This window comes from Homo sapiens, chromosome 21, assembly GCF_000001405.40.
Source record: "Homo sapiens chromosome 21, GRCh38.p14 Primary Assembly".
In the NCBI taxonomy this organism is placed as follows: domain Eukaryota; kingdom Metazoa; phylum Chordata; class Mammalia; order Primates; family Hominidae; genus Homo; species Homo sapiens.
The window spans coordinates 36,440,223-36,454,780 of NC_000021.9; the positions used below are offsets into that span (position 1 = coordinate 36,440,223).

At 45.3% G+C, this 14,558-nt stretch overlaps 1 long non-coding RNA gene across 5 annotated transcripts in view; it reads left to right on the forward strand.

The window, feature by feature from the left end:
- Positions 1–14,558, forward strand: part of CLDN14-AS1 (CLDN14 antisense RNA 1) — a 68,202-nt gene that overhangs the window by 9,898 nt on the left and 43,746 nt on the right. For 4 of the 5 annotated variants that reach the window (NR_183529.1, NR_183530.1, NR_183531.1 and 1 more), the window contains exon 2: positions 5,406–5,785. This is a non-coding gene — a long non-coding RNA (CLDN14 antisense RNA 1). Of the gene's footprint in view, positions 1–5,405; positions 5,786–11,447; positions 11,655–14,558 lie in introns of those variants that run through there. The other variant, NR_183533.1, reaches the window with a different exon arrangement.

Sequence of the window (14,558 nt, forward strand, 5' to 3'; positions counted from 1 at the left end):
CAAGTTCTAAAAGAGAAAAATGAAAGCTTATATTTGATTGCATTGGATTTATAGACTGATCTCAGGGAAAAGGACGCCCTTACAGTACTGAGCGTATTGAGTCATCCTATCCAAACGCATGGGCTACTAAAAATACAAAACTTAGCTGGGTGTGGTGGTGGATGCCTGTAGTCCCAGCTCCTCAGGAGGCTGAGGCAGGAGAATCATTTGAACCCGGGAGACAGAGGTTGCAGCCAGCCGAGATTGCGCCACTGCACTCCAGCCTGGACAACAAGAGTGAAACTCCATCTCAAAAAAAAAAAAAAAAAAAAAATCACGATTTAGTTCTTTTTGAAAAACAAAGTAGAAAGATCACAAACTCGTTTTATCATTTTTTTAGAAGGCAGGGGTCGGGAACACAAATAATAAAATTAGGATCAAGTAAGGGAAATAATTACAAGACAATATTTAGGCAACCTGTGCTAGTTAATGGTCTTCTAGGAAAGTATGTCTTACTAAAATTGACCACAGAAAAGATGGAAAGGGTTACTTAGTAATTTTGGTAAAAATGGAAAAAGTTGTCAATGAACGATTCCCCCACAAAAACCACATTCAGATGGTTTCATGGCAATTCTGCCAACTTTTTGTTTTGAATTTCCAGCTTTTACTTTAAGTTCAGGGGTACATGTGCAGGACGTGCAGGTTTGTTACATAGGTAAATGTGTGCCATGGCAGTTTGCTGCACAGAGCATCCCATCACCTAGGTATTAAGCCCAGCATCCATTAGCTACTCTTCCTGGTCCTCTCCCTCCTCTCACCCCTCACCCTCCCACAGGCCCAGTGTTTGCTGTCCCCGCCCCCACCCCCCTGCCATGTGTCTATGTGTTCTCATCATTTAGCTCCCACTTATGAGTGAGAACATGCAGTATTTGGTTTTCTGTTTCTGTGTTAGTTTGCTAAGGATAATGGCCTCCAGCTCCATCCATGTCCCTGCAAAGGACATGATCTTGTTCCTTTGTATGGCTGCATAGTATTCCATGGTGTAAATGTACCATATTTTCTTTATCCAGCATCTATAAGGAACTTAAATAAATTTACAAGAAAAAAACAACCCCATTAAAAAGCGGGCAAAGGGCTGAGCATGATGGCTCGTGGCTGTAATCCCAGCACTTTGGGAGGCCAAGGCGGGAGGATCATTTGAAGTCAGGAGTTCGTGACCATCCTGGGCAACAGGGCGAAACCCCATCTCTACTAAAAATACAAAAATTAGCAGGCATGGTGGCATGCGCCTGTAATCCCAGCTACTCAGGAGGCCGAGACAAGAGAATCGCTGGAACCCAGGAGGCGGAGGTTGCAGTGAGCCAAGATCATGCCACTGCACTCCAGCCTGGGTGACAGAGCAAGACCCTGTCTCAAATAAATAAATAAATAAATATTGATACAAATGCTAAATAAAACATTAGAAAATAGATCCCATAAAGATAAATGTACACCATAAATGAATTTATTCAAAATCCATCCCAGAGGACTCAGTAGTTCAAAGGAGAAAAATAATACAAGCATCACAAGATGAGCCATTGAGACATTTGATAAACTTCCACCGCCTTTTCTAATTGGAAAGAGAAGGCAATTTGTGAAGAAGTTCTTGCCTTCTACTCCGGTGACACACCCACTTTATCTTCCCGGTACCTTCTATTCCGGTGACACACCCACTTTCCCTTCATGGCACCTGTTTCCCTCTCAGCCCAAGTACTTTGGGTGAAGCTAACTCCACTCTGGCATTGACTCAGGCCTGCCCCAGGATGGGCCTGCGACCCCATTAATGCCAATAAGAGCAAGTGGGGTTCACGAAGCAGCCAAAGAGAGGCAGCTGGACTTGAACCTGGGAAGAGACAGGCTCTGGCTTAGGTTGGGAACAAGGTTGAGTGACAGAAGTTAGAAGTTCTTTATGCTTTTTTTTTTTTTTTCTGAGAAAGAGTTTTGCTCTTGTTGTCCAGGCTGGAGGGCAGTGGCGCAATCTCGGCTCACTGCAACCTCCGTCTCCCGGGTTCAAATGATTCTCCTGCCTCAGCCTCCCGAGGAGTTGGGACTACAGGCATCTACCACTATACCCAGCTAAGTTTTGTATTTTTAGTAGAGACGGGGTTTCCCCAGGTTGGCCAGGCTCGTCTTGAACTCCTGACCTCAGGTGATCCACCCGCCTTGGCCTCCCAAAGTGCTGAGATTTCAGGAGTGAGCCACCGTGTCCAGTGATAAATCATGAATTTGCTAACAATTCTTCTGTTTTCCCTTCTGTTTCCTTTAAGTTTTGTATTAATTTTTCTAAGTCCCTCCTCCCTGCAGAATACTGGATTCACTTTTGCTTTCCGTGAAGTATTTAAGAATATAAATATCATTTTGCCTTCAGCTTTGACCTTGTCCCATGAGGTTTTGATATATAATATCCTCATTATTGTAATTTCCTAGATAGGCTGCAGTTGTAGTTTTATTTCCTCTTTAAAATGAGGAAAAACGAGATTTTTTTTACATTTCCGATAGGTTGAGTATTAATTTTCTTTTTGCTTCAACCTTATTATTTTTAGTTTTATTGTAGCTTGAGAACGTGGTTTCTATTTCACTTCTTAGAATTTATTGAGGTTTTCTTTGTGATCTAATATATTGTAAAATTGTGTAAGTCTCCTATTGTTTTTGAAAAGACAGTGTATTCTATTTTCTCTTTCCTTTCAGGACACAGAATTAGACATACATGTACAGTGTAAGATCAGCCTTGTCCATCTTATTCAGACCCTCTGCATCTTATTTTTTATTTTATTTATTTATTTTTGAGACGGAGTCTTGCTCTGTCGCCCAGGCTAGAGTGCAGTGGCGCGATCCCGGCTCACTGCAAGCTCCACCTCCCGGGCTCATGCCATTCTCCTGCCTCGGCCTCCCGAGTAGCTGGGACTACAGGCGCCCACAACCACGCCCGGCTAATTTTTGTATTTTTAGTAGAGACAGGGTTTCACCATGTTAGCCAGGAAGTTCTCGATCTCCTGAACTTGTGATCCACCGGCCTCGGCCTCCTAAAGTGCTGGGATTACAGGTGTGAGCTACCGTGCCTGGTCAGCCTCTGCATCTTTTTTACCCGCTTACTTGATGATAGGGACTGAGAGAAGTGAGTTAAAATATCCTACACTAATATGTTACTGTCCTTTGTTGCAGATCCTGAGAAATATCTTTTCACTGTGGATCATGAGGTTCATCATAATCAAGTGATCTTTTCATATAACTTACTGAGTTTTTCTTGAATTCAGCTTTCTCAGATGTGACTATTATACACTTTCTCTTGCTTTCTTTTTATTCAGGGACCATCATTTATTTAGGTACCATCATATTATTTTGCTTGTAATTTGACTTTCAGCTGTTCTGAACCACCTTGTTTTAATATATCAGCATATATTTAGAGTTATCTTTTTAAATGTAATGTGAGGCCGGATGCGGTGGCTCACGCCTGTAATCCCAGCACTTTGGGAGGCCGAGGCGGGCGGATCACCTGAGGTCAGGAGTTCATAGGCCAGTCTGGCCAACATGGCGAAACCCCATGGTGGTGAGCGCCTGTAATCCCAGCTACTCGGGAGACTGAGGCAGGGAGAAGTGCTTGAACCTGGGAGGCGGAGGTTGCAGTGAGCCAAGATGGCACCATTGCACTCCAGCCTGGGCGACAGAGCGAGACTCAGTCTCAAAAAAAAAAAAAAAAAAAAAAAAACAAGTAATGTGAGAATTTTTAGATTTTATTAAGCTTATTTGACTATATTATAATTGATTACCTCTATCTAAAACTCTCTCTGTGTATGTAATTTTAATACTTTCTTGCTCTTTCTTTGGTTTCTATCTTTTGTTATGTTTTTCTCTTCTTTGAATTCAGAAGGCAGATAGTCTTTGGGGTTCTACTAGTGATTACTTGCACAACTTTTTTTTTCTTTATTCTAAAAAAATAAAACCGAGATACATGTGCAGAGCGTGCAGGCTTGTCACATAGGTATCCGTGTGCCGTGGTGGTTTACCACACCCATCAACCCATCCCCTAATTCCCTCCCCTCACCCTCCACCCCCGACAGGCCCCGGTGTGTGATGTTCCCCTCCCTGTGTCCACGTGTTCTCATTGTTCGACTTCCACTTATGAGTGAGTACATGAGGCGTTTGGTTTTCTGTTCCTGTGTTTGTCTGCTGAGGATGATGGCTTCCAGCTTCATCCATGTCCCTGCAAGGGACATGATCTCATTCCTTTTTATGGCCGGCTACTTTCACAACTTTAAATAGTATCCTTAAACCTATTTTTCACAATGTATGAAATTCAGTAACATAACCATCCCTCTTTATTTTCTCATATAAAAGATGAGAAAATGGGCCAGGTGTGGTGGCTTATGCCTGTAATCCCAGCACTTTGGGAGGCTGGGGCAGGAGGATCGTTTAAGCCCAGGGGTTCAAGGGTGCGGTTATCTATGATTGCACCACTGCACTCCAGCCTGGGTGACAGAGCAAGCTGCTGTCTCAAAAAAAAAAAAAAAAAAAGAGAAAATGTACTCTTGGAGCATCTATTTCTCCATTTCCTAATTTTATTTACTTGTTCTGGAGTGTTTGTCCTACTTTATATCATTGTCTGTTGAAAATAATGAAATATTCCTCTCTTTCCCAGGAATTACAATATTCTTGTAATTAGAGCTTCTGCATTACTTGGATGTAATTTATAGTTAATAGATTCAATGCTCTGTGCTGATTTTTAATCATATGACTTCCTCATTTCTAATTTATTTATTTATTTATTTTTAAAAGAGAAATGAGGCCTTGCCCTCAGACCCAGGCTGGTCTTGAACTCTTGGGCTCAAGCGACCCTCCTGACTCAGCCTCCCAAAGTGCTGGGATTACAGTCATGAGTCACCTCATCCAGCCTAAGTTAATTATTTTAATCTTATCTTTAAAATAGATTGTGTCTTCAAGTAGATTTTTTGAATCTTATTGAGGTATACTTGCAGTATACTAAATTGCATGTATCTAAAATGTACAACTGGATCAGTTTAGGTTCACACGCACCTATGAAACCATCACTGCAATAAAGAGAATAGCCATTTCCATCTGAGGAAAAGCAACGCTCTATATGGAGGATGGACAACCCAGATATCTAATGTACCGCTAATTTTATAGACCTAAAAATACAATAGAACAAAGGGAATAGAAAAAAATTAAAAGCATAATAAAAACAGAATTTCCTGAAATGAAGGAAGACATAAATGTTTACATCAAAGAAGTCCTTCATTATAATAAAGAACTATAAACTCTGAGTGAAATTTTTGAAAGACAAGCTTAAAAAGAATATGGCAAAAATAAAGTTATATGCTAAGAAAAGTAGTCTAACTTCAGATTTCTTCTCTTCTTTTCTTTTCTTTTAGAGGCAGGGTCTCAGTCTGTCACCCAGGCTGGAGTACAGTGGCACCATCTTGGCTCACTCTAGCCTCGACCTCCTGGGCTCAAGTGAGCCTCCTACCTCAGTCTCCCAAAATGCTGGGATTACAAGCATGAACCACTGTGACTTGCCTTCTTGGCAATTTTAAATGAAAGAAGAAGATGGAATAATGCCTACTGAGGACTATGTTTGAGGGGTGTTGTATGACCCCGTTTTCCATACCCAGCCAACTTGTCATGTGACAAGTCCACAGAAAGATGTTATATGACAGGAATCTATGAACTAGTCTTCCCTGAAATGTACCTGACTACAGCTAACATCATATCACATGATGAAAGACCGCGTTGTTTTCCCCTGAGGTTGGCAGTAAGTACACTCACTTTCAATACTTCTGTTCCCCATGGTTCTGGAGGTTGCAGACATGGCAATAGGTAAGGAAAAGACATAAACATAGGAAGTGACAAAATATAGAGTTTTATGTAAATGGAACCATATGGTAGTTACCTGGGGATGCGGTGGAGAGAGGGAGAGGTTGCCTAAGCTTGTGGGTGATAGAAATATTTATCTTCATTGTCAAAAATAATATGGGAGAAATTTCCCTTTCCTGTCTTCCTGAGCACGGCTGGAATCATCCCCTTAGCATTTACTCTGCAAAGTGGCATCTCACCGTCTCTTCTCTCTTTAGATCTTTAGTTGTTTGAGTGGTTGCCTTAGCGTTTGGGAGGAGGACGGAGGCTGTGGTTTCTGGAAACTCCGGCCCTTTGGCTTCTCTCTGAATGTGTTGACTCCGTGGGAAACTGGCTGTTCTGTGCATGTGGGGGTAACCTTTGTATTTCAGTTTGTTTTTCTGCATTGGTGTGAGGCAGTCACTTCACTGAGGAGTTGAGCTGGAGTTGTGCCTTGCAGCCTGGCCTGGAGACTTCTGTTGTGTATGTGAGCGCTTGTTTTTATCCAACAGTCGCTGCTTGCCTGCAGCTGCGAAGTATGTGTGTGTCTCCAGATCTCCCCGGTTGAGAAGGGAGGGCCTCTCTGAGGAGTCGACATTTGAGGAGAAACTTGAATGAAGGAAAGGAAGGAGCCATTTGGAGATTGTGGGGAAGAGCATGCCAGGGAGAGGGAACAGCAGATAAGAAAGCGCAGGGCCGTGGGGGCTTCGTGCTGTTTGGCCAAGAGCCTCTTCCTCCTGTCTCGCTGGTCTGCAGCGGGAAGAGTGTCCGAATGAGCCCACTCATGCCTTTGGCTCTTCTAGGCCAGCAGGGATTTCAGGGTTGCAGGGAGCCCTTCGGAACTTCCTTCTCTTCCTGTGGCGCCCCTCACCGTGCTCCCAATCCCGTGTCTGTGTGCATCCCTGGTGTGGCCTTTCTCACTTACACCCAGCCAGTGGTCTTTGATGTTTATGACAAGAGGCCGAAGCTCTTCATATTTTCAGATGAAATGGAGTTTTCTTTCTCATGGAGCTCAGTTATCCATCGTCCCTTTGTCCTTTTGCTCCTGAGAATACATGTGTCTGCTCCATGCTGCGCCAGCCCAGTCATGGAACTCAATGTTTCTGCAGTTTCCCTCCGAACATTTCCAGTTGCCCAAAGGCATTCGTGGTTTCACAAATTTTACTGAAGGTTTAGTATGGAGACGGCAGAGAGTTGCATCTTGTACTCCATTGCAAACAATGGAAAATCCTCCTTCGATGCTACTCTGTAGGTTACCCCTAGGTTACCCCTCAGTGGGTGCCACCCCTTAGAGATCGCTCTCACTCTGGGAGTGGTCAGAGAGGAGCGCAGGGCTGTCCATGTCCCTCCCACATGGCTGCTGCCTCCTCCTTCCTGACTGCAGCCTTGGGCTGGGAGCTCCCGTCTTCCTCCCTGGTCACAGCTTGGGAAATCGTCTCCTATTACATGTTTTAAAAATTGAGGTGAAATTCACATAACATAAAATTAACCATTTAAAAGTGTACAATTCAGGCGTCCAACATGGTGAAACCACGTCTCTACTAAAAATATAAAAAATTAGGTGTGGTGGTGCACGCCTGTAGTCCCAGCTACTTGGGAGGCTGAGGTGGGAGGATCGCTTGAACCCAGGAGGTGGAGGTTGCAGTGAGCCAACATCATATGACTGGACTCCAGCCTGGGCAACAGAGGGAGACTCGGTCTCAAAACTAAATAAATACATAAAAGTGTACAATTCAGTAGCATTTAGTACATACACAATGTTGTACAATCACCACGTCTATCTAGTGAAAAATATTTTACTCTTGAAAAATGTCTAAATCATCCCCAAAGAAAATGCCATACTTCATTAGAATTCACTGTCTATTCCTCTCCTCGCAGCCCCTGGCAACCACCCATGGGACTGGGCTGATACAGTGGGGCACACACATGGCACATGGGACATCTGTACATTGGACTATTCTTCAACCATTTAAAAAAAATGGGCCAGGTGCTGTTGCTCAGGTTGGTAATCTCAGCACTTTGGGAGGCCAAGGAAGGAGAATCACTCAAGGCTGGGAGTTTGAGACTAGCCTGGGCAACATAGAAAGAACCCATCTCTACAAAAAAAATTAAAAAATCAGCCAGGTGTATGGTGCATGCCTGTGGTCCCAGCTACCTGGGGGGCTGGGGTGGGAGGATAGCTTGAGCCTGGGAGGTCCAGGCTGCAGTGAGCCATATCTCGCCACTGCACTCCAGCCTGTGTGACATAGTGAGACCTTGTCTCAAAAAAAAAAAAAAAAAAAACAACTCTGTTTTTGAGATGGAGTCTTGCTCTGTCACCCAGGCTGGAGTGCAGTGGCATGATCTCGGCTCACTGCAACCTCTGCCTCCCAGGTTCAACCAATTTTCCTGCCTCGGCCTCCTGAGTAGCTGGGATTACAGGCACCCACCACCACGCCTGGCTAATTTTTTTTTTTGTATTTTTAGTAGAGATGGGGTTTCGCCATATTGGCCAGGCTGGTCTCGACCTGCTGACCTCAGGTGATCCACCCGCCTCGGCCCCGCAAAGTGCTGGGATTACAGGCGTGAGCCACCACGCCCACCAAAAAAGGTAGTTCGGATCTGTGCTACAACATGAATGAATCTTGGACATTATGCAACTTCATATAAATGCAGTCACATAATATGTGGCCTTTTGTATCTTTTTTTTTTTTCATTTAACATAATGTTTTCTTGGAGGTCCAGCCACACTGCGGCATGTATCAGAATGCATGTGGCGAGTATACTATCTCTGTATGGCTAGACCATATTGTGTTCCTCCATTGGTCTATTGATGGACATTTGAGTTGTTTCTTCCTTTTGGCTATTGTGGGTAATGCTGCTATGAACATTTGTGTAGAAGTGTTTGTTGAGTCCCTGCTTTCACCTGTTTTGGATATATTCCTAGGAGTAGAATTGTGGGGTCATTATTGCATTTTAATTAGAAGGACTCTCTACTCTCTGAAATGTGTTGGTGACATCATTGTCTGTGGCTTTTTGAGGATTCCTGTCCATCATTTCACATTTTCTGAATTCTCCAGTTTCACCTACTTGAAGGTCTCCCATAGAACCACTCATGGACTCCAAGGTGCCTGTTGTGAAGGCCTTGACCCCTCTCACATGCTGCTCTTGTTTTGCACTGAAATACTAAATAAGAGGAACAGTGCTTTGCCGTTGTCGGGGGCTGAGGGGGAAGGAGGAGACAGAGATGGGGTGAAGCTGTCCTTTTTTTTTTTTTGAGATGGAGTCCTGCTTTGTCGCCCAGGCTGGAGTGCAATGGCGCAATCTGGGCTCACTGCAACCTCTGCCTGCCTGCTTCAAGCGATTCTCCTGCCTCAGCCTCTCGAGTAGCTGGGATTACAGGTGCATGCCACCACACCCGGATAATTTTTTGTGTTTTAGTAGAGATGGAGTTTCACTATGTTGCCCAGGCTAGTCTTGAACTCCTGAGCCCAGGCAATCCACCTGCCTTGGCCTCCCAAAGTGCTGGGATTATAGGCATGAGCCACTGTGCTTGGCTGAAGCTGTCGTTCTTTAGCTGCCGTTGGACCCTCCCTTGCCAGCAGAATCAGAGTCATTGCTGTAAGACCAGTGACCTGGAGCAGCCCTGTGAGGGAAGGAAGGTCTGTGCTACCACCTGTGGCTCTTGGGTCAGGCAGAGGAGTCTGATGAGAGTGTCCTCTGCTAATCAGAGTGTGAACTTGAGCCTGTAAGAGGGTGGAGTCTATTATAGATGGACAGGGCAGCTACGGAGCCCACTGCTCCTGGGCCTCCCAAAGTCTCCTTCTCGTCCCATTGCCCTCATCTCTGTGCTCCATTCTCCCTCCTCCAGACTTCATGCTCTAGGAAACCAGATTAATTTTGTAGTTAACCCAACCTCCAAAGGCAGCTTCTGGGCTGAGGCCTCTCCCAAGGATGTTCTTGGGTTGTGTAGGCTGCCAGGTGGTGCTAGACTTAAGTCTATCTCAGAGCCAGCCCCTGGTTGTCCCTTTTCGTGCCCTTTCCCCTCCACCCTCAGGCAGTTGAGCTTGCTGAGGCATCAGGCTCTATACCTTAGTGGGAGTCAAAGCTGGTTTGCTAGCTTTCCAAGGAACAACTCCAGCCTCCTGCCTTCCCTGCATCCCCCTCCAATTAAAATACAGACCCGGGTCAGCAGTGGCTCAGGCCTGTCATCCCAACATTTGAGAGGCCGAGGTGGGTGGATTGCTTGAGGCTAGGAGTTTGAGACCAGCCTGGCCAACATGGTGAAACCCCGACTCTACTAAAAATACAAAAATTAGCCGGGTGTGGTGGCGCAAGCCTGTAATCCCAGTTACTCAGGAGGCTGAGGCGTGAGAATTGCTTGAACCTGGGAGGTTGGAGGTTGCAGTGAGCCAAGATTGTGCCGCTGCACTCCAGCCTGGGTGACAGAGGGAGACTCAGTCTCAAAAAAACAAAACAAAACAAAACAAAAAAAACCACAGACCTGAAATTTAGCTGGGGCTATGTCTGGTCCTGCACATACAACAGCAAATGACGTGGACAGTCTCTGAACTCAGACCCTAGAGTCTAATGGAAGATTCAGAAAAGCGTGTGTTCCAATTAATAAAATACTTACACATTCTGAGAAAAACTGTGTGGGAAATGAACAGTGTGCTGAGATAATGACTCACTGGGATGTGGGGGCTGCTTTGGGTAAGAAGGAGCCAGTCACTCCTTCTATATGATCTGGATGTAATCCTTCCTTCTGGAGTTTTTTCAGGTCCTTTTTCTTTTATGTTCAGAAATTTCATGAGGATGTATCTTAGTTTTTTTTTTTTTTTGAAATGGAGTCTCGCTCTGTCACCCAGGCTGGAGTGCAGTGGCTCGATCTCGGCTCACTGCAAGCTCTGCCTCCCGGATTCACGCCATTCTCCTGCCTCAGCCTCCCGAGTAGCTGGGACTACAGGCGCCTGCCACCACGCCCGGCTAATTTTTTGTATTTTTAGTAGAGATGGGGTTTCACCATGTTAGCCAGGATGGTCTCAATCTCCTGACCTCGTGATCTGCCGCCTTGGCCTCCCAAAGTGCTGGGATTACAGGCATGAGCCCACTGCGCCTGGCCAGGATGTATCTTAGTTCTTAATGTAGATCTTTGTTCATTCATTCAATCTGATGCTTTTTAAGCCCTTTCAATTTGGAAATTCAGGTCCCCTTTTAGTTCTGGAAAATCTACTTCAATTTTTTTTTTTTTTTTTTTTTTGAGATGGAGTCTTGCTCTTGTTGCCCAGGCTGGAGTGCAGTGGCACGATCTCAGCTCACTGCAACCTCTGCCTCCCAGGTTCAAGTGATTCTCCTGCCTCAGCCTCCCAAGTAGCTGGGACTACAGGCGTGCACCACCATGCCCAGCTAACTTTTGTATTTTTAGTAGAGATGGGGTTTCACCATGTTGGACAGGCTGGTCTCGAACTCCTAACCTCAGGTGATCCACACGCCTTGGCTTCCCAAAATGCTGGGATTACAGGCGTAAGCCATCGCACCCGGCCTATTTCAACATTTTTAAAGATAATTTTCGCTCATCCGTTTTCTGTATTCTTTTCTTTTAGGGACTCCTACTTGTCAGATGCTCCACCTCCTACAGAGAAGTTCTGTGTCCTTCGTCTTCTGGTGCATGGTTCCCTTTTATTTGTGTTGTAATCTTTGTTATGCTCTAGATTGTTTTCTCTGCTGTATATTCTAACCCTTTTGTTTACTTTTAAAAAATGTATTTATTTTAAACTTTTAAATATTTTATTAAAATTTTTTAAATTTAAGAGACTTTTCCATTTTCTAAGCTTTTCATAGCTCACTGCAACCTCCACCTCCCGGATTCAAGCAATTCTCCCACCTCAGCCTCCCAAGTAGCTGGGATTACAGGCACCCGCCACCACGCCTGGCTAATTTTTGTATTTTTAGTAATAACGGGGTTTTGCTATGTTGGCCAGGCTGCTCTCAAACTCCTGGCCTCAAGTGATCTGCCCGCTTCGGCCTCCCCAAGTGCTGGGATTACATAGCATTCTATTCTTATAGACAAAATGTGACCTTGAATTTTTCTGAGAATAGAGATTTTTTTTTTTTTTTTTAAGACAAGGTCCCACTCTGTCACTCAGGCTGGAGTGCAGTAGTGCAATCATGGCTCACTGCAGCCTCGACCTCCTGGGCTCAAGAGATCCTTCCTCCTCAGATCCCAAGTAGATGGGACTGCAGGTGCAAGCCACTGCTCCCTACTAATTTATTTTTTGTATAGATGAGGGTCTTGCTGAGTTGCCCAGGCTGGTCTGGAACTGCTGGCTTAAAGCGATACTCCCAACTTGGCCTTCCAAAGTATTGAGATTACAGGCATGAACCATCACACCTGGCCTAAATTGAGATTTTCTTCCCTGAATCATCTGTTTCCTCTGGTGTCAGGTGTTTTCTCTTTGTTCGTCTTTTCTCTCCCTTTCATGATGCAGTATTTCCTCAAATGTCTGGTGACTCTTTGGTGTGTGAGGCAATACAGAGGCTGGCAGGGAGTGTTGCTTACATAAGCAAGGTTTGTCAAAAGGGGGGCTTCCTTTTAGCCAGAGAAAGTAGGAAACTGGGTTTACCCCCAAGGATTTCTCAAATGCCAGAAGTAGAGGGCTTCGTGGGGAGGCGCCAGCACTTGTACTACCCACCTCATAAGTTTCTTTCCAAATGGTTTATTTATTTTTCTGTTTCGTTTTTTGTTTTGTTTTGAGACGGAGTCTCGCTCTGTTGCCCAGGCTGGAGCGCAATGGCGTTATCTCGGCTCACTGCAACCTCCACCCTCCCAGGTTCAAGCGATTCTCCTGCCTCAGCCTCCCAGATTCAAGCGATTCTCCTGCCTCAGCCTCCCAGGTAGCTGGGATTACAGGTGCCTACCACCATGCCTGGCCAATTTTTTTTTTTTTTTTTCGTAGAGATGGAGTTTTGCCATGTTGCCCAGACTGGTCTCGAACTCCTGAGGTCAAGAAATCCTCCCACCTCAGCCTCCTGAGTAGCTGGGACCATAGGAGAACATCACCATGCCCGGCTAATTGCTTTATTTGTGGAAACTGAGGTCTTGTTACATTGCTCAGGCTGGTCTTGAACTTCTAAGTTCAAGCAATCCTCTCACCTTGGCCTCTCAAAATGCTGGGATTACAGGCCACCATGCCTGGCTCATTGTAGTTTTAATGGGAACCAGATTTGATTTTGGAAAAATAAAGGCATGAAATGTTCTGCCTGAGTACTATGGAGCAATTTGTAGTTATTACCAAGGTGAATGCTATTTTTTCTTTTTTTGAGATGGAGTTTTGCTCTTGTTGCCCAAGCTGGAGTGCAGTGACGCCATCTCGGCACACTGCAACCTCCACCTCCCGGGTTCAAGAGATTCTCCTGCCTCAGCCTCCCCAGTAGCTGGGATTATAGGCGTGCGCCACAACACCTAGCTAATTTTTGTATTTTTAGTAGAGACGGGGTTTCACTATGTTAGCCAGGCTGGTCTCAAACTCCTGACCTCAAATGATCCGCCTGCCTCGGTCTCCTAAAGTGCTGGTTACAGGCATGAGCCACCGTGCCTGGCCAGAATACTAAATTTTATAACAGAAGTATCTGAGGGGCTACAGATGGAAAAAGAGGATACCGCTTCCACTCAGAGGGTTGTCTGGGATGTCACCACTGTGCACACATATCAGGAGGGAGCTGGGAATCACTTGCCATCCAGGTTCAAGGTCATCCAAGTATAGCACTGGATGTTCCCATTCTCACAACCTCTTCCCCATTCTGGGCCTTCACTGCCTCCAACTCATGTCAGCAAGATCATGATGAGCTCCTACCTAAGGCGGGCCTCAGCTTCCCCAGATACCTGTTGAAGCCACTAGACCAAAACTCTCCTATATTTTCCGGGCTGGTCAGTCTTACCTTCTGGCTATGTCTTATGCTGGTTGGGAACTTACACAAATGCTTTATTTTGGAAAAATGCCTGGGATGACAAAAAACAAATCCGAGACCTCCCCAGAGCTGGAGGCCTTGGAGGCTCCCCGGCAGGAGCTGGTGGGCTCCCGGCAGGAGGGAGAGCTTGAGCCAGTCAATCATTTACCCAGCAGGCATGGGGAAGGTGGTGAGCTTTTCAATAGAAAGCCCTCAGGAGAAAGGAATTAAAGTGCGTATTGTGCTGGGCTTTCCTGGGGTGAAGCTGGCAGAGCAAGAGGTGAGGTGAGGAAGAGGCAGGTGATTAGCCCCCGCAGGGGCTGGGCCTTCCCTGATTTATGGGGTGACCCTCACTGGCCTTTCCCAGGCAGGAAATGGGCTGTTTACTAATGCCTTCCCCCTGCCACACACCTGTGAAAGCCAGTTGGTAGTATTTTAAAATAATTTACTAGAATGAAGTTTCTGTGTTTTCCTTTGGATAGTTGCCCAGTAACTGGCTTTGTGTTTTTTATTTTTTTAAAAATGGCTTAAAATATGCAGGATCTTAAGCTTCAATATTTCTGTTTGTCTCTCTCTGTCTTTGTCTCACTATCTGTCTGTCTCTCATACACACACACACACACACACACACACACACACACACACACACACCTGTGTCTCAGGCAAGAAAGGGGTCCTCACCCTAGGAGATGTAAGATGGCTTTTCTTTAAATCGTGGAAGTCTTAGTTAATTCTTTTTAAACTAATTCATCACTGGCTCTGGGGCT